Source organism: Homo sapiens, chromosome 9, assembly GCF_000001405.40.
Source record: "Homo sapiens chromosome 9, GRCh38.p14 Primary Assembly".
NCBI classification, from domain to species: domain Eukaryota; kingdom Metazoa; phylum Chordata; class Mammalia; order Primates; family Hominidae; genus Homo; species Homo sapiens.
In genome coordinates this window covers 127,012,864-127,031,572 of record NC_000009.12, presented here as the reverse complement: position 1 = coordinate 127,031,572, position 18,709 = coordinate 127,012,864, and the positions used below count along the sequence as shown (strand labels likewise).

At 44.7% G+C, this 18,709-nt stretch overlaps 1 protein-coding gene and 1 long non-coding RNA gene across 56 annotated transcripts in view, besides 1 other annotated feature; both read right to left on the bottom strand.

Moving 5' to 3' along the window:
• The window catches only part of RALGPS1 (Ral GEF with PH domain and SH3 binding motif 1), a 308,385-nt gene that overhangs the window by 191,594 nt on the left and 98,082 nt on the right, over positions 1-18,709 (bottom strand). The gene's annotated exons all lie outside the window — the stretch shown is intronic.
• Positions 650-1,150: an enhancer, noted in NCBI's record as "H3K27ac hESC enhancer chr9:129792702-129793202 (GRCh37/hg19 assembly coordinates)". NCBI's record gives its function as "activates a minimal SCP1, AML or CMV promoter by ChIP-STARR-seq in primed H9 embryonic stem cells {active_cell/tissue: H9 hESC(primed)}" and the evidence as "EXISTENCE:reporter gene assay evidence [ECO:0000049][PMID:30033119]".
• LOC105376279 (uncharacterized) lies at positions 8,323-12,544 on the bottom strand. Its single transcript, XR_930370.3, has 2 exons — positions 8,658-12,544; positions 8,323-8,425 (listed from the first exon to the last, which is right to left on the bottom strand). It is a non-coding gene; the product is annotated as an uncharacterized LOC105376279 (long non-coding RNA).

Genomic DNA, 18,709 nt, shown 5'->3' with positions numbered 1-18,709 from the left:
TTGTGACAGAGACTGAAGGAGGCAGAGCCTGACAAGGGAGGTGACATGCGGGGCACAGGGCCTGGCTGGCAGTAGATGCTCAAGCAGCCTCTGTTAATGAATGAAGCATGAGCACTCCTCAGTGTGAAGACCTCCCAAATTCAGCACAGAAGATTTATCACAAGGTCAGAAGAAGTATGACCATTCTGTCTGTGCTAAACAAGTACTGGGCCTGACCGCTTTGGCGCAGTTCCTCTTCTGTGTTTGGTCTTACAGGATTACAAGAGATTCCATCCGTGTTAAGTGGGTTTAGGAAAATGTGAAGTAATAGAACAAAACTCTTCCAGTCACTAATGCCTAAAAAAGGTCCACACTGTGGAACTTATTTGAGTGTAATTTAGTTAAAATTGACCAGAGGAGACAAGGCTGATTCTAGAAGGGAGACAAGGGTTTGGGATGAGACCAGTACGGCCCTGGTAGCTCTGTGTCTGTGGTGAGCCACTGAGCTACCCAGGGACTGTCGCACAGCCCTTCCCATGGGCGCTGAGGCCCACATCTTGCCCAGACGGTCCCTGGCCCTGACTACGTGGCTGAGCTGACTGGATGTGAGGGGACTAAGAGCCTGTGCAGTCCTTTACCAGGTGCTGCTGAGACCTTCCTCCTGTCACCAGGGTGTTCCTCAGGCTCATCAGGGAAAAACAGATGCTATGAGAAGAAAACTTCCTGCCACCAAACTTAAATGTCCTTGCATCCTCTCCCTCCTTCTGGCTTTAATGAAAGAGGGGCTTCTTTCGCTCTCTTCCTGCCCCCATCCCACCCCTCTGCCTTCTCAGAGACCTTACTCTGATGCCCTCTGTCATCCCTGTACCTTCCACGTCTTCCTCTCCAATTTCTCCTTCCTGCTAGCATTTTAACATGCATTAAGCTTCTCCCATTAATATTAATAACAATAAAAAACACCTCTCCCAGACCCTGTCCCCTCCAGCTCCTGCTCACTCTTCTCCCTTGCAAGAGAACGACTTAAACTCACTCCCCTCTCCTACCTGCCTTCCCTGCTCTCTGCTCCCCTGTAACTGTTCCTTCCCCTAAGACAACTTCCCAACTAGGAAATTAGCGCCCCTTCACCGGCCGCTCTTAGCCTCCACCATATTTGTTGTCCTCTGCCTTGCCTTTGCACACTGTGTTCTCCTGTTGTCTCCCCACCTTTCGGGCCCCTCACTCTTAGTCTTATTTTCCGGCTGCTCTTTTCTTTTCTGACACAATCTCCACCTCAACTTGTCCAAGGTCATCTTCTACATTCTTCTATATTTCTCCCTAGAAGATCACATATACTGACTGTTGTGGCTTCAACTACATGTCTGTGTCCAGCCCAAGTTTCTCTCCTGAGCTCCCGTCCAAGATAGCCAGGTGCCTCCTGGCCATACCTTCTTTGGCATCCACAGACAACTCAAAATCAGTGGGCCCAGAACCAAAGGGGTATCTGACCAGCTGCCTTAAATAAAAAACACGTTAACAACAAAAAATTCATTTAGACATTCATCTGACAGTCAAAGAAGAATGTTTATCACAAAGACACTGTGGAAATAATCCCTAACTGTGCAAAAAAACTTAGTCTTAATACCCCCACCTGTAAGCATTCCTAGGTGAAAGCAAGAATCAACACTGGTTTCAGCTGCCCCTGCAAAGCTGCTCTGGGCCACCCCACCATGAGGCTCACTCCACTAGCTGCCGGTTTTGTGCTTAGGGGTCTGGGAGTCAGACGCCTTGAGGTGAGCTGAGACAGGCCCAACCCTGACCGTGTCTGGAGTCCATCACGTAAGGCCTTGGGAAAGGAGACTGGGGAGTGGTGACAAGTCCTCTCTGAAGACCCCCACGGCATCTAGGCCATCGGGCCACAGGAAGCTGGCGTCAGCACATGGCCCTTCCACGTGTGCCTAACTCTCACTGCAGTCATCTCCAAATCACGTTCATCAAACGTGTCCACATGGAAAACGCATTGCCTCAAGGGCAAGTCACTACAACAGACCTCAGGACCACTGCCAGGCTGGCACCAGCCAACAGCACATCACCACTGTGCTCAATGGCTTTCTTCTTCCTCCTCCCTCCATGTTTCTCCCACTCTTCCCATCCTACCCTCTCACAGGAAGGAAAAAAAAACAACAGGAAAGACCTGCCAGATTTGCTTTTATAAATCATCTTCAGAAGAACTGGTGGGACAATTACACACCTAACCAAAGGAGTTCTGAAACACCCTGGGAGATAGGTGACCCAGTAAGGCAGTCAGGGAGACAGTGCCAGTTTTGGGGACCTGACCAGAGTGGGTCTGACTGGGGAGTAAGGCATTCAGGGCCTAGACTCTTGTGACAGAGTTAAGAATGGGCTAAGGAGATGGGCAAATAAAAGAGAATGGCTGGCGTGTCCTTCAGGGACTTCCATGCCTTGTCACCCACAAGGAAGTCTACATTCTTCTCTATCTATATTCACCCCAGGAGACCATATATACTGACTGCTGTGGCAGTAGCAAAGGTGCATGATGTCCACACCTTCCTTGTGTGGAAGTTGGGGGTCTAGAGGCCCAAGCAGGAGTAACAGAATTCCATGAAAGCTACCCACCTGGGATCTGGCAGAGGGGCTGGCTCTGGTCTCAGGAGTGAGCTCTGGGGGCACAAGGGTCACAAAAAAGAGGCCACAGCATGTAGTAGTTAGGGACTTACATGGACCAGGCTGATTCCCTGGCTGTGTGACCCTGGACAAGTCACTTAAACTCTCAGTGCCTGACTTTCTGCATCTGAAAAATGGCATTAATAATAGCACCTCCTCTGTAAGGTAGTTATAGGAATTGAATGGGCCGATATTTGCAAAGTGCTTAGAAAAAAATGATACATTGTAATATTTTTAACGTGCTCATTAAATTAAATAATGCTCAAAGGGGAAAGGCAGCGCTGAGCAGTGGGTGCAGGGGCTGAAAATCCAGGCCAGGAGAGCCCCTGGAATCAGATGGAGGAGGCACACAGGACAGCAGTCCCTGGACAGTAGGACTCCAATGGTGCCAGGATGAGAGCCAAGGCCCAGCCAAAGGGAAGCACCAGCAAGATTTATTGAGCACCTACGTTGTGCCAGGAACTGTGCTACACACTCCACAGAGACCATCTCATTTTATCCTCACAGAACCCTCACAGTGGATATGACTGCTCTGACCTCCAATTTCTAAATGAAATAATATGTAACAAGCAGGTAATTTGTCCAGACCACACAGGTAGTGGATGGTAGAAGTGATGGGAGCCCATCCTCACCACAGCCAGAACAGAGCTGCAGGCCTTAGCCGGGGCTCCGGCAGGCTTGCAGCCTAGAGGAGAACTGGGTGACATGAAGGCATAGACCAAAGCAGAACCTGGGCAGGCTTCTGAGAGCACCACACCTGAGTTAGGGCCAGCCCAGGAATCGGGCTGCCATAGCCAGAATGGGGCACAGTGCCTCTGGCAACACAGGCAGGGCTTAAAAGACAAAAGGGATAATAGGATCCAGAGTTAAAATGTCTACAGATACATAGGGAGCTCCTCCAGGGGCAGAGACTTAGGGATATCTAGAATCAGTGTTTACTGAGTGTTAAAATGGCCTGCTAGACTCTGGGCTAGGGGACTTACATGCTGTAACTTGCTGAATCCACAAACAAGACGATGAGATAGGCACCAATTGATGGATGAGACTATGAGGCTCAGAGAGATTGCCACATGTCTAAGGTCACATGGCTAGTAAGTGCTGGAACTGGGATTCAAACCTCAGTCTGATTCCAGAGCCCACGCTCTACATGGTGTCAGAAAAGTCAGAACTCACAACAATCTGAGACTACAAAGCAGGCTAAGGGAAGCAAAGAAGCTTCTTGGTTCTTTTAGGCAGTAAATGTGCCATAGTTTATGGATATGCTAATTGGGGAGAATACGCATCTGGTCTGTTTCAGGGAAGCCTCATCCACTGGTGGGTGGGGGTCGCATCCAGTACCACCAGTTCTCCCCTCAGTAAAATCTGCAGTTCCAGCAGATCCTAATAGTTATTAACAAAATATAAATGCTTGTATTTGTATATATTTCACTGTAAACACAATCAAATATCATCTTTTTCTATAACTCTTAATGAGACCATGAATGAAATATGTGAGAGAACAATGAAGTTAGTCCATGATTAAAAACAAGTTTCAAAAGGGAGAAGCTGATTCCATCATCTGTGTCTGTGACAAACCCAAAACCACCTACAACTGGTTCCATATTAAGTTCAAAACAGGTTGCGTGTTCAAATGACACCTGACATATGCATTTGCCTAACATCACTCCCAAGACCCCTCTGACAAAGCACAGAAGTAAAAGATAGACCTAAACTAGGAAGAGAATGGAGTGGAGGGCACTACTACCCTCGTCAAATGAGAGATTTCAACACATTACTGGAGATCAGCACGGATTTTGATTAAACGAAAACAGAAAGTCTCAAGCTAGACTATGCCAGGAAGGGGCTACAGAGGTGGTGAAGTCAGGCTGCCTTGGGGGACCTCAGAAAGGCTCCTGGCTCAGAGTCATTAAGGAACAATAAACAGAGGACAAATGAAAGGTCAGTGTACTGGACACTGTCTCAGCCAGCACCCCCACCCGCTGCCTGCTAGCATCCACCCCCGGGCAAAAAGTGGGATGGGAGAATTAAAGGCTTCCATGCTGGAACCCACAGAATAAAGGTCGCCTCGTTTTGCTGACAGTTAGAGAACTGCACCCTGCATGCCAGTCCCCACCCTGTCATCCTGCAGTGTGGGCAACCTGCTGTGTCTTGCCCAGGCCACTTGGCTATCCCAGGCAGACTCCCCTCAGGAGAAAAGCCAGGGGAAAAAAGTCACAACACCTACAAGCCACCAGGCATATGAGTGAAGCCAACAGAACGGAAGGAAAACCAAGGTAATAAATGACAATGACTTTGGAAGAAAAAGAAACAAAAACTTAGAAAAAACCCCTCTAACGTACTTAGACACTGTTAAGAAAAGGAAATGCAACAGACTGAAAAAACATTTTGTAAAACAAATATGTGATAGAAAAGAGACTTGTATATAAAATATAAACTGTTACAACTCAACAATAGAAGTCAAACAACCCAATTGTGATGATGGTTAATACTGTGTCAACTTGATTGGACGGAAGGATGCAAAGTATTGATCCTGCGTGTGTCTGTGAGGGTGTTGCCAAAGGAGATTAACATTTGAGTCAGTGGGCTGGGGAAGGCAGACTCACCCTTAATCTGGGTGGGCACTATCTAATCAGCTGCCAATGCGGCTAGAATATAAAGCAGGCAGAAAAATGTGAAAAGACTACACTGGCCTAGCCCTCCAGCCTACATCTTTCTCCCATGCTGGATGCTTCCTGCCCTCAAACATCGAACTCCAAGTTCTTCAGTTTTGGGACTCAGGCTGGGTCTCCTTGCTCCTCAGCTTGCAGACAGCCTATTATGGGACCCTGTGATCGTGTGAGTTAATACTTAATAAACTCCCTTTTGTATATATATCCTATATATAGATAAAATTAGTTCTGTCTCTCTAGAGAACCCTAATACACCAATGTTTTTTAAAAAGTAAACCACATCTGTAATCCCAGCACTTTGGGAGGCAGAGGCAGGAGGACTGCTTGAGCCCAAGAGTTTGAAACCAGCCTGGCAATATAGTGCAACCCTGTCGCTACAGAAAATTAGAAAAAAAACAAAAAACACTTAGCCAGGCATGGTGTGCTTGCCTGCAGTCCTAGCTACTCAGGAGGCTGAGGCAGGAGGATTGCTTGAGCCCAGGAGTTCAAGGCTGCAGTGAGCCATGATCATACCACTACACTCCAGCCTGGATGACAGAACAAAGACTGTCTCAAAAAAAAAAAAATGAAAGAAAAGATTTGTTCATACACTTTACCAGGAGGATGCGTGGATGGCAAGTAAACACAGGGGAAGGTGCTCTATGTCATTAGTCAGTAGGGAAATGCAAACTAAATGACAATGGACACCACATTTAATTCAATCATCGCAAAAAGCACACATAAGTGACAATACCAGGTGCTATGGAGGATCAGAACAGCCATTTAGGAAAGCAGGTGGGCAGCTTCCCATCAAGTTAGGCACACACTTATCAACTGCCCCAGCAATCTCACTGGTAGGCCCAGCAATCCCATTGGGTAGGTATTTACCCAATACCAATATATGTCCACAAAAAACTTGTATGTGCATGTTTACGGCAACTTCATTCTCTATTTCCCCAGACTAGAAACAACCCGGATTTCCACCAGCTGGTGAGGCGATGAACAAATCATGGTACAGCCATATAATCCAATACTACTCAGCAACAAAAACACGAATGACAGAGTGACGCATACATCAGCGTACACGAATGTCAACAGTTTTATACTAAGTGAAAGAAACCACACAAGAAAGTATTATGATTTGACTTACATGACATTCTGGAAAAGGTAAACATGACAGAGACAGGAATTAGATCCTTGGTTGCCAAGGACTGGGAACAGGAGGCAAACTGGCTACAAAGGGGCACACAGAACTTTTGGGGTTGACAGACAAGGTCTCCACATGAGAACACTCATTCTTCACAATCACCAAACTGTTTACTAAAATGGGTGATTTTTACTGGATGTAATTAAACCTCAATAAATATGACGAAGGAAAAAAAAGGAAAGAGTCCAACCATAGAGCATTGCAAAGGAAGGTCCTATAAAAACAGCTGCGCAAAAGACTGGAAAACAACTAGTTCACACTGGAGCAGGACAAAGTGCTGCTGAAGGGAAGCCTCTGGGGAAATATAAAAACAATTAAAAATATAACATGAATCAACATATAATACATACCCAGTATCAAGCAATCAATGGATTAAAAGAGAAGAAAATCTACAGGTCTTGTGAGGCATATTCTCTTTTGAATGGCCCAGGGTTACTAGGGAATGAAACACAATCCTGGCATAGTACTTGGCTTGACTATGTGTAACAGTTACGTAGCCATAATAATAAGTGTTGTTTGATGGTTTTCAACTTTAAGAGTCCACCTAAGGAAAAGTGTGATGAGTTTGGTGAAGCTCATTAATTAGGCAATGTAAAAGTATAATCAACAGAAGGTGGGCAGTGGAGAACTGGAGGGAAAGCATAGGAAGTGAGCGGTCACAAGATACCACACAAAGCTGGTGAAACAAGAAATTCAGGCTTTGGTGTGCCAAATAAAATTCCAAAAGTAACCAGCAGAAAAAACAGTTTAAAGAGTGTACCTTTGGGGAGGGGACTGAGGTGAAGGTTTTTCTTCATAAGCTTTCCTGTACTATTTATCATGTACAAGATCACTTGGAAAAAATAATTTTTAGTAGATGACATATTACACATTGTAAACCTTGTAAAAAATATATTTTGAAGTTGAGTAAATACTCTAAAATATGCCTAATTTTTATAAAGTCATAACCTACTTATAACCTATCAGTGTCAACATTTATAAATAACACACAGTTTTCACATGACCACTAGGTGCTTCTGTCCTTTTTTTTTTTTTTTTTTTGAGACAGAGTCTTACTCTGTCACCCAGGCTGGAGTGCAGTGGCGCGATCTCAGCTTACTGCAACCTCCGCCTCCCAGGTTCAAGCAATTCTTCTGCCTCAGCTTCCCGAGTAGCTGGGATTACAGGAGCCCGCCACCATGCCTGGCTAATTTTTGTACTTTTTAGTAGAGACAGGGTTTTGCCATGTTGGCCAGGCTAGTCTCCAAATCCTGACGTCAGATGATCCACCCACCTCGGCCTCCCAAAGTGCTGGGATTACAGACGTGAGCCACCGCGCCCAGCCCTGTTTCTGTACTTTTTGATGGAGTAATCATGTGAAAATCATGACCAGCTGGGCCTTAGGGAAACACACCTGTCCTACAGGAGAGCTGTTAAGGCTAGAATCAAGTGCATGCAGGTCCCCTGGTAGCAGAGGGAGGGAGCGTTAGCACTGAGGGAGTCAGAAAAGCTCATGGCTGGAGGGGAACTCACTGCCAGGCACTGTCCCAAGCCCTCCCTGGAAGAAGACCAGCTGCAGTGAAACATGAAAGAAAAACAGGAAGGAGAGAAAGACAAAAAGAACAAGGAAGCAAGGAAAGAGGAAGAAAAATTGAAGAAAAGAAGGGAGGAGGAGGAATAAAGGGATTAAGGGCAAGTGGGAAAGAAAGAAGAGAGAGCCATCTAAGTGCCAGGACTGTGCTGGAAAGGTTCCACAGTGAGTCAGACCGGGTCTTGAAATTGGTGTCTGCTCAAAGCAGGGACAGACAGGAACATAAATTACCACAACTCAAGGCCACAAAGGACAACTGGACTTTCCTGCTTTATTTCCCAAGGTTGCAGTCCTAATAGACATTGCCTAGGTCCAAGCCTTCTGGGAGCTGCCAGTGGACTGAGGTATCTTTAGTTCTTTCTTGGACGATGATGGTGGTGGTGGTGATGATGATGATGATGATGATGGTGTTTGAAGAAGGGAAAGAGTTGATATGAAACCATAAAGGAGGAAGGAAGAGAAAAAGGAAGAGACAACAGTGATTGGCAGTTTATAAAGCACATCTACATTCATTTATTCACCAAAATTAAAGTATGTTTTAGGAAATGCAGCAGTGAACAAACAAACATGCTCTTACTTTCATGGTGCTTACCTTCTACAGGAGAAGAGAGATTTCTAAAGAAATCATAATAAGTCAGATGATAACTCCTGCGAAAAAGCATGAATGAGGATGAAGGTAGGAATATTTGGAGGGGATGTCTCAGCAGGCCTGTCTGACAAGCTGGCATGGAGTAGAGACAGGAATGAGGTAAAGGAGCATGCTCTGCAGGTATCTAGGGGAGGAGGGTCCCAGGCAGAAGGAAGTGAAGTGCACGGGTCAAGACCCTGATTCAGGAACACCATGAGATATCTGAGAACAGCAAGGTAGCCCATGGCTGGAGCAGAAGGAGCCTGGGGAGGAGTGGGAGAAGAAACAGTGAGACAGGACAGGGGTGGGAGGCCAGGTCCCAGCCTTAAGGGAAGGTAAAGAGTGCAATTTTTTTTTTTTTTCTGCATGGGATGGGAAAACAACGTAGGGACTGGGCAGAGGTGGCTCCCCAAACCCTCACATGGAGTGTTTGGTAGGCTGTATTGCCCTGATGCCATGAGGGAGAGCACGGCAGAGAGGGCCCAAACCCTTTAAGCACCTTCTACTATACTAGAATCAAGTTTGGTAAGTGCACGGGATATTTGCATTTTCTTATGTGAGAGCAACTCACTTTGGTAATTTGAAATAAATACCTGTTAAGGGCTGTGTGTGTGGAGAAAGGGAGGAGGCAGTATGGGCCGTGGAAGAAATGAACATGAGGGCCTCCCGAGGCCCCAGAACCCCTGGCTAGACAAACCACAAGAGGGGGAAAGGATCACTGTGGAAAAATGGTGCCTCCAGTGAAATCAGTATACACATATATGTACTCACTGAATAAGCAGAAGCAATTTATCTTTCTCAGCTTTCAGGTCATACTAGTTTCTATAGAATAACAACTCATTTACAGTCACTACTGTTTCATCAAATCCTCAAGCTACCATCTGCTTGGAAAACATACAGACTTAGGGTCAGGAAGATGATGCAAATTTCCCAAAACCTTCCCTCTCCAGCCCTAGTACTACGTAGCTCTGCACAATTAGAACCAGCTGTCAACGCAGGGCAGCAGCCAACTGCAACCCTGTGAGCAGTCTCCTGTCCACGTGACAGAGAAAGAGCCCGATTAGCGGACTGAGAGCAGCCGCCAGCAGCTCTGCTCACAAGATTAACAAACTGGGACTAGGCCCACAGGGCCACATGCTCATTCCACTCTTACACTGGGAATTATGTTCAATTCCCTTTCTCCATATTCTTGGGAAATGTTTTTTTCCGAATACATCATTCAGATGTTCTCTTTAAAAAAAAAAAAAAAAAAGAAGAAGAAGAAAAACTTTTCTTTTTTTTAATTAGGGACCTAATACATGTTCATTACAGAAAACCTGCATGATACAGAAGCCCAATGAAGAACTTTTTTTAAAAATCTGAATGCCTTTTTTTTTTTTTTTGAGACAGAGTCTCCCTTTGTTGCCCAGGCTGGAGTGCAATGGTGCGATCTCAGCTCACAACCTCCACCTCCAGGATTCAAGCAATTCTCCTGCCTCAGCCTCCCGAGTAGCTGGTATTACAGGTGCACCAATATGCCCGGCTAAGTTTTTGTATTTTTAGTAGAGACGGGGTTTCACCATGTTGGCCAGGCTGGTCTCAAACTCTTGACCTCAAGTGATCCACCTGCCTCGGCCTCGCAAAGTGCTGGGATTACAACTGCGAGCCACCAAGCCTGGCCGGCAGGGTCTTATTACATTGCTTAGGCTGGCCTTAAACTCCTGGGCTCAAGCAATCCTCCTGCCTAAGCGTCCCGAGTAACTGGAACTATAGGCAGATGGGCCTGGCCTCCAATGAAGAAAATTTAAATTACCTATTAGCCTTAACACTCAGAGAAAACTAAAGTTTACATTTTGGTTTATAATAATGACAATAAAAACAATAACATTTACTGAGGACACTTTCTAAGTGTCAGGCACAATGTCAGTAATTTTACATATATTTATCCATTGCTCCCTGAATTCTCACAACACCCCTATGAAATAGGTACTATTATTGCCCCATTTTACAGATGAAGAAATAGAGGCATAGCTGGAGAAGTTCAACAATTTGCTCAAATCCTCATATGTGTTCAATATGAGAGCCAGGACTAAACCTAGGCCTGTTGCCTCTGGAGCCTGGACCCTCAGCCACAGAGCACATCCATGGCCGGTAGCTATGCCCACACTCACAGGTGCAGGGGCACACACATGCACACACACTGGCTCTCAACTGAGCTCATACTATAGCTGTGGTTTTATAATCTGCTTTTGTCCTTAATACATTACAAACATTTTCTCACATCTGCCCACCCTTCCTTTTTAGAATTCCTGTGATATACACACATGACATCTCCTAGAAACAATTCATCACATTCATCTTCCTTTGTTTTTGCTCTGAGTTTCAGAAGAAAATTGTAGTTTGTCCCTTAATTTATTACTTTGGTTTTCTGCAATCTCTAACTTGTTGCTCACTTTTCCCATTGCAATTCATGTGTCTCAGCACAGTTCAATCTTTCTTAATGTTGATCCTCATGTGCTGCAGGGTCATCCTGACTATTGCTGGGAATACAAAATGAAATTTTTGGAAGTACCTGCTTCACAGGAAGGTGCAGGCTCTGACCTAATCTTCGCACTGCCTTCTATTTTTGACTAACTGAAACTTTTCTATATTTGATGAGTATGCTAAAAACCCTGCAAGAAACGAGAAAAGTTAAACCAAAGGTTCCAAGACCACATGGTTTTACCAGTGAGTTCTCTCAGGCTTTTGAAGAATACATAATTCTTATGGCAAATAGTTTATACCACAGCACAAAAAGTGACGGAAAAAAAAATCCCCAAACTTAACAAGTTTGGCTAAGAAATACAGGAATCAGCTAATGTTAATAATCAAACAAGCATATTGATAATTCCAAGATAAAAAAGTGATATGATCCTCTCAATAGATATTGAAATGGTAATTGGAAAAATGTAACATTCATCTGAGATTTTAAAAAAGAGAAAAACAACTTAGAAGCTTAGTAGTATCTGTCTCAAACCAACAGCCCTCATTATACAATTGAGAGAAACACTACAGGAATTTGAATTGAAATTTGAAACAACAAACCCCCCATGACACATGTTTACCTGTATAACAAACCTGCACGCCCTGCACATGCACCCTTGAACTTAAAATCAAAGTTAAATAACAGCCTCAACCTGGAAACACAAATGTCAAGCAGCAGAATGGACAGACAAGTTGTGGTACATTTATACAATGGAATATTATTAGTAAGCAATAAAAAATAATGAACAGCAGCCAGGCGCGGTTGCTCACACCTGTAATCCCAGCATTTTGGGAGGCCGAGGTGGGTGGATCACAAGGTCTGGAGATCGAGACCATCCTGACTAACATGGTGAAACCCTGTCTCTACTAAAAATACAAAAAATTAGCCAGGCATGGTGGCGGGCACCTGTAGTCACAGCTACTCGGGAGGCTGAGGAAGGAGAATGGCATGAACCCGGGAAGCAGAGCTTGCAGTGAGCCGAGATTGCACCACTGCACTCCAGCCTGGGCGACAAAGCAAGACTCCATCTCAAAAATAAAATAAAATAAAATAAAATAAAAAATGAACAGTAAATGCATGCAACAACAGAAAAAAGAGTAACAACAGGTGCTACAGCCTTTCTCATCTAAGTTTCTTATCTGAACCACAGAGCACAGAAAATGATTTGAGTGACTGTTTCTTAACTCTCCTGAGATGGTACATTCATTACATACAATGGACCTTCAGGCACAAGGCTTAATTCTCTCATGAAATCCTGGTTGCGAAAGGCCTATGAGGCTATAACCCAGCAATGTCCAACAGAAATATAATGTAATCCACACATTTTAAATTCTCAAATACCATGTTTTAAAAAAGGAAAAAGAAACAGGTAAAATTAATTTTGACCATTTATTTTATTTAACTCAATATAGTCATGTACTGCAGAACGACATTTTGGTCAACAATGGACCACATATACAACAGTGGTCCCATCAGATTATAATGGAGCTAACAATTCCTATCACCTAGTGATGCCGTAGTCATAGAAATGTTATAGCACAACTCAGTACTCAAGTGTTTGTGGTGATGCTGGTGTAAACAAACCTACTGTGCTACCAGTCACATAAAGGTACAGCACATACAATTATATACAGTACATAATACTTGATAATAAATGACTGTTACTGGTTTATGTATTTGCTATACTTTTCATCGTTATTATTATTATTATTATTATTATTATTATTATCATCATTATTATTTTTTGAGACAGAGTCTCACTGTCACCCAGGCTGGAGTGCAGCAGCACAAACTCAGCTCACTGCAACCTCCGCCTCCCAGGTTCAAGCGATTCTTGTGCCTCAGCCTCCAAGTAGCTGGGACTCCAGGTACGCGCCACCACGCTCAGCTAATTTTTGCATTTTTAGTAGAGACGGAGTTTCACCGTGTTCGGCAGGCTGGGAACTCCTGACCTCAAGTGATCCACCTGCCTTGGCCTCCCAAAGTGTTGGGATTACAGGCGTGAGCCACTACACCCAGCCCACTGTTATTTTAGAATGTGCTCCTTCTACTGTTTTTTTTTTTTTTAAGTTAACTATAAAATAGCCTCAGGCAGGTCCTTCCGGAAGAAGGCATTATTTTGTTTGGTTGGTTGGTTTGGGTTTTGTTTTGTTTTGTTTTGTTTGAGACGGAGTCTTGCTGTCACTCAGGCTGGAGTGCAGTGGCGCAATGTCGGGTCACTGCAGCTCCGCCTCCCAGGTTCAAGCAATTCTCCTGCCTCAGCCTCCTGAGTAGCTGGGATTACAGGTGCACCAACATGCCCGGCTAAGTTTTTGTATTTTCAGTAGAGACGGGATTTCACCATGTTGGTCAGGCTGGTCTCAAACTCCTGACCTCAGGTGATCCACCTGCCTCGGCCTCCCAAAGTGCTGGGATTCCAGGTGTGAGCCACAGCGCCCGGCCAGAAGAAGGCATTATTATAGGAGATGACAGCTCCATGTGTGTGACCATCCCTGAAAACCTTCCAGTGGGACAAGATGTGGAGGTGGAAGACAGTGATATTTACGATGCTGACCCTGAGTAGACCTAGGCTAATGTGTGTGTCTGCGTCTTAGTTCTTAATGAAAAAAGTTGAAAAAGAAAAAATAATTTTAAAAATACAAAAAAATCTTATAGAATAAGGATATTAAAAAAGAAAATATTTTTGTACAGCTGAACAATGTGTGTTTTAAGCTAAGTGTTATTACAAAAGAGTCAAAAAGTTTTAAGTTTGTAAAGTAAAAAAGTTACAGTAAGCTAAGGTTAATTTATTATTGAAGAAAATTTTTTATAGATTTAGTATAGCCCACATATATAGCATTTATAAAGTCTACAGTTGTGTATTACAGTAATGTCCAAGGCCTTTACATTCACTCACCACTGACCCACCCAGAACAACTTCTAGTCTTGGAAGTTCCATCCATGGTAAGTGTCCTATATAGGTATACCATTTTTATCTTTTACATTATATTTTTATTGTACCTTTTCTATGTTTAACTATGTTTAGCTACACAGATACTTACTACTATATTACACTTGCCTGCATTACTCAGTGTACTCACGCTGTACAGGTTTGTAGCCCAGGAGCAAGAGGCTATGCCGTATCACCTAAATGTATAGTAGGCTATGCCACCTAGGTTTGTGTAAGTACACAATATGGTGTTCACACTAGGGCAAAATCACCTAAAGATGCATTTCTCATGATGCATCCCATCTTTAAGTGACATATGACTGTATATCCAAGATATTATCTTTTCAAAATGTAATCAATAGAAAATATAACAAATTATTAAGGAGATACTTTCCTTTTTGTAGTAAGTCTTTGAAATCTGGTCTTTTTTTTAATATTTACAGAACATCTCAATTTGAAGTAATGACATTTCAAATGCTCAACAGCCACATGCAGCCACCATATTAAGACAACACAGCTCTAACTGATGTAAAAAGACGTGACATTGAAATATAAGGTGTACTTCTTGAAAAGGTGGGGTCAAGGTAGGAGAACCAAAGACAAACCATGAAGCCCCATCAATAAGGGCTGGAGTGAGGTTGGAGCCAAGGCAGGAAGCTAAGAACCAGAGGGCAAGGTCAGCCCAGGACAAGTAGGAAGACTGAACAGATGATGACACTGCGTATGACTGACCTAGGTTGTTTATATCTCCATCGCTTGAAGTCTGTCCCCACCTCCATGCTTCACTCCTGCAAAAGGAGGTAGGGCTTGTCATTAATGGGTTAAGTAGATCCAGCTGCAACTGTTAGAGGCCTCGGGTTATAGGTAGAATGAAATAAATACAAAAAAAGACCTACAAGGACACATGCCGTTCACATTGGCAATTTTATATTTTTATGAAGTCAGGAGTCCTGGGTTCTAATCTGAGATGTGTCCTAAACCCCCTCTGTGACTTAAAGTCAGCCCATCCCACTGCAGGAGTTACAGATTACTCTCTATAAAATATAGCAGCACCAGATGGTCTTTGAGATCCTCCCAGCTCTCCCATTCTGTGAGCCTAAGAGAAGCAGGGGCCATATAACCGGCATTACATAAAAACGTTATTAAGTAAGACCTGCCCCTGGAGACTGGGCAATTGCAGCACTTTTCTTTCTTTCAGTGTTTCGAGGGCAAATGGAGAGGTTGAGTCCGAGAGAGACAGTCAGGAAGGGGTGGGGGCTTCTAGGCACTGCACTGTTGTACAGGGATAAATTGGACAAGACAATCTGGTGTGGCAGGAGACAGGAAACAGTGGGGTGGCAGGGAAGGAGGGAGCCTGGGAACAGATGGGAGCAGATGAACAGAAAAAAATGCAAATGGAAAACTCAGGTTCCAGAAAAAGAGACAGAGAGAAGAGAGAAGGAAAAAGAAGAAGAGAAGAAAGGGAAGAAAGGAAAGGAAGAAAGAAAAGAAAAAAGGAGGAGAAGGGAGAGAAAGGCAGTCAAGGGCAGAAGGGTTAAACCCCAGGTGGGATCAGGTGCATCTTTTGGAGGTGGAAACATGGTGTGAGAAGTGCCTCCAAGTGGAGCAGGGCAGGGAGGGAGGGATGTGATGTCCAGGGCAGGAGAAGAACTTGGGAGAAGAGGGGAACAAATGGGTGGTATACATGAAGTGTCCCACATGTTTTCCATGTTCCCAAGAAAAAGCTGTCTCTGAAAGTTTGCAGGTCAGGAGCAGACACAACCAGATGATCAGATACCAAAGAGGCAACCTAGGCCATCTTACACCCAGGACCATCTTGGGGACGCTGAGACCCAAACCGTGTAGCCCCAAATCTCACCAGGCAGGACGAGAATACAGTGGGAACACACTGAGATAACCAACCGCCAGGAAGCCAAGCTCCTCCTCACTTTGAGAGGCGAACAGAGTCCTTCAAGATCTGTTCGCAGTCCTGTTCCCAGGCTGAGAATAATAATAATAAACACTAATAACAGCAGCTAACAGTTTGCTTACTGTATCTCAGGCACTAGGCAAAATACTTTTCTCACATTATGCTCCGTAATTTTTTAACAATGGCACCCTGAGGAAGGGCTATGATTGCCCCCAGGTTACACATAACTAAAATTGAGATTCAGAAAGGATAATTAACTTGCCTAAAGTCAATGTAACAAATAAGTGACAAAGTGGAATTCATATCCAGGTCTGCACTCCAAAGCCCAGGCTCTTAACCACAGTGCTGTCAGCCTGGGCAGGCATTGTTACCATGATTTTCTACCAGTATTTTGAATAATAGTGACTATCTACAAAGTGAATGGCACCACAGGGGTTATAAAAGGAACAAAAAGACAGGGAAGGAAGAGAACTATAAGTTACTGCATGTTTCCTACATTCTAGGTACTATATAATGGGCTTAAATCTACTTTATTTTATTTAAGTCTCAAAACCAGACCATAAAGTAGATTTTACTATTTCATTTGATGGATGAGAAGACTGTGGCTCACAGAGATTAAATAACTATACAAGTGCATCCAGGTAGTAAATGGCAGACTCCAGAGCCTCATCTCTTAATAAGCAAAGGTCCCGGGTATGATGTAAGATAACCACACAGGAGACCAGGGAGTGGACAAACATCACTTAGAAAAGGCTGATGAGGTGGGGGATGGGGGCTGTAAAAAAATGATGGGCCTAGAGGATGCACAGGGACTGAAGGCTGTCTCAACCTAGGGCCACACCCCCCACCCCCAGGCCTCCCTGCAGTGTCCAGCCGAATTCAGTATGCAGCAAGGCAGACTGCAAGAGGGACCACAGGGTAAGTCTCCATTCCTAATCTCATAATGAAATTATTATGAGATAATAATTTCATTCAACATTTCACAGCCAAAGAGTCTTCTCCCCCATCCCAGTTAACTCGCTTTTTGATCACAAGCAGCTTGAAGTCTCTAGACAGAGTAGGATTCCTGGAAACAATGCCAGAATTTGATAAATTCCAGCAATGGCTACGCAGTGGAACATCTTATGGGGTGCTGGGCTGTTCTGGCATTTGTACTGTCTGATGATGGCTACAGATGGCTGGTGTGCACACAGACCAAGAGGAATGGCTCTTTCAGGAAAAGTTCCCTTTCCTAAAAGGCTCAAAGGAAAAACAACTTTCAAATGTTTGATCTATACAGGGATACTTAAAAGTATGAGGAAACCTTTTGAACATTTGAGCCACTAGCCTTCAATGGTGTGAAACCCCTTTTTTAAGGCTGGAAGCAAGACCATGGCAGTGTTCCCAACCTCAGGCCCGGGCTGCTCTGTTTGCCTTAGCTCCCCAGCTCTGTCACCTGCATCCTTTAATCAGTAATGCCAGTCAGTCTTCACGGAGTGCCTCCTCTGTGCCCAGCACTGTGCAAAGCTTAGGAGGACACAGCAGTGACAAGGCAATGCTTGGCTTCCGGTGGAGAAGACAGGCATCAATTATGAACATGTTGCTGAACGCATAAGGAAAAGTTCAGAGTGCAATCAGTGTATAAGAAGGACTGGCTTAGCTGAAGTGGGGGGACTAGCATGCCAGGCAGAGAGCAGAAAATGCACAGGCCTGGAGGTAGGTTCAAGGACCTGTGGGAAGGCCAGAGGAGGTGAATCAGAGAGTGAGTCGGGAGGCCAGAAGAGGGTTGGAAGGAAAGGATAAGTCACTCCTACCTGCACGCCCCCCTTAGAGATGTGGAATCACCCAAAGGCACTGGGGAAACCACTGGAGATGCTGAAGAGGCTCAGGGATGTGGACAGAGATTTAAAACCACAGATTGGGCAACGGAGTGGGATGGGGCAGACATGGGTGTAGAGATGCCCGCTGGGAGATAAGTGCCAAAGTTGAGGGGTAGCACTGGGGACAGACAGGTGGAAAAGGGGAAGATAGGGTGTGGGGACTGACTGGGAGCAGAGACTGTGGGAGAGAGAGGGGGCGTCAATAACAGACACCATGCTTCTGGCCTGACTGGGTGGGCAGGCATGCCATTCCAGGGGTGCGTACCACAGCGGGATTCTGGGGAAAGAATCAGGCTTGGTTTGGGGCATGCTGTGACTATGGCACCTGTAGGACTTTGGCTTCCACCTGTTCAGCTTCTTGAAGGAAGCACAGCTCCCAAACAACACTTGCTCTGCCAGCGCCCACAGAACCAAGGCCATAGTGGGGCCACTCTATTCTCCAGTCTTACTTCCCACAAAGCTCCTCACCTTTGCTTTAGATCAAACTAATCTGCTCACTGGTCCCTGTACATGGCCACTTTCTTCCCAACTGCCTTACCTGTGTTCAAGCTGTTCCTGGTACCTGAAATGCCATTTCTCGCTATCTTGTGTCCAAATTATACCAATTCTCCAGGCCACAACGGAAGCTCCACCAGGATGCTTTGTGTGTTGTCCTAGCTGGAAGTATTGGCTCCCCTCCCATATAGCACTTTGTCCTCTTTAGTGAGACCCTTGTAATTATTTAGGTAAATCTCTTACCTTTCCCATTAGACCAGGGATTCCTCATTCATCTTCGAGTTCCCTGAAATACCAGGCAGGGGGTCTTACACATGGTAT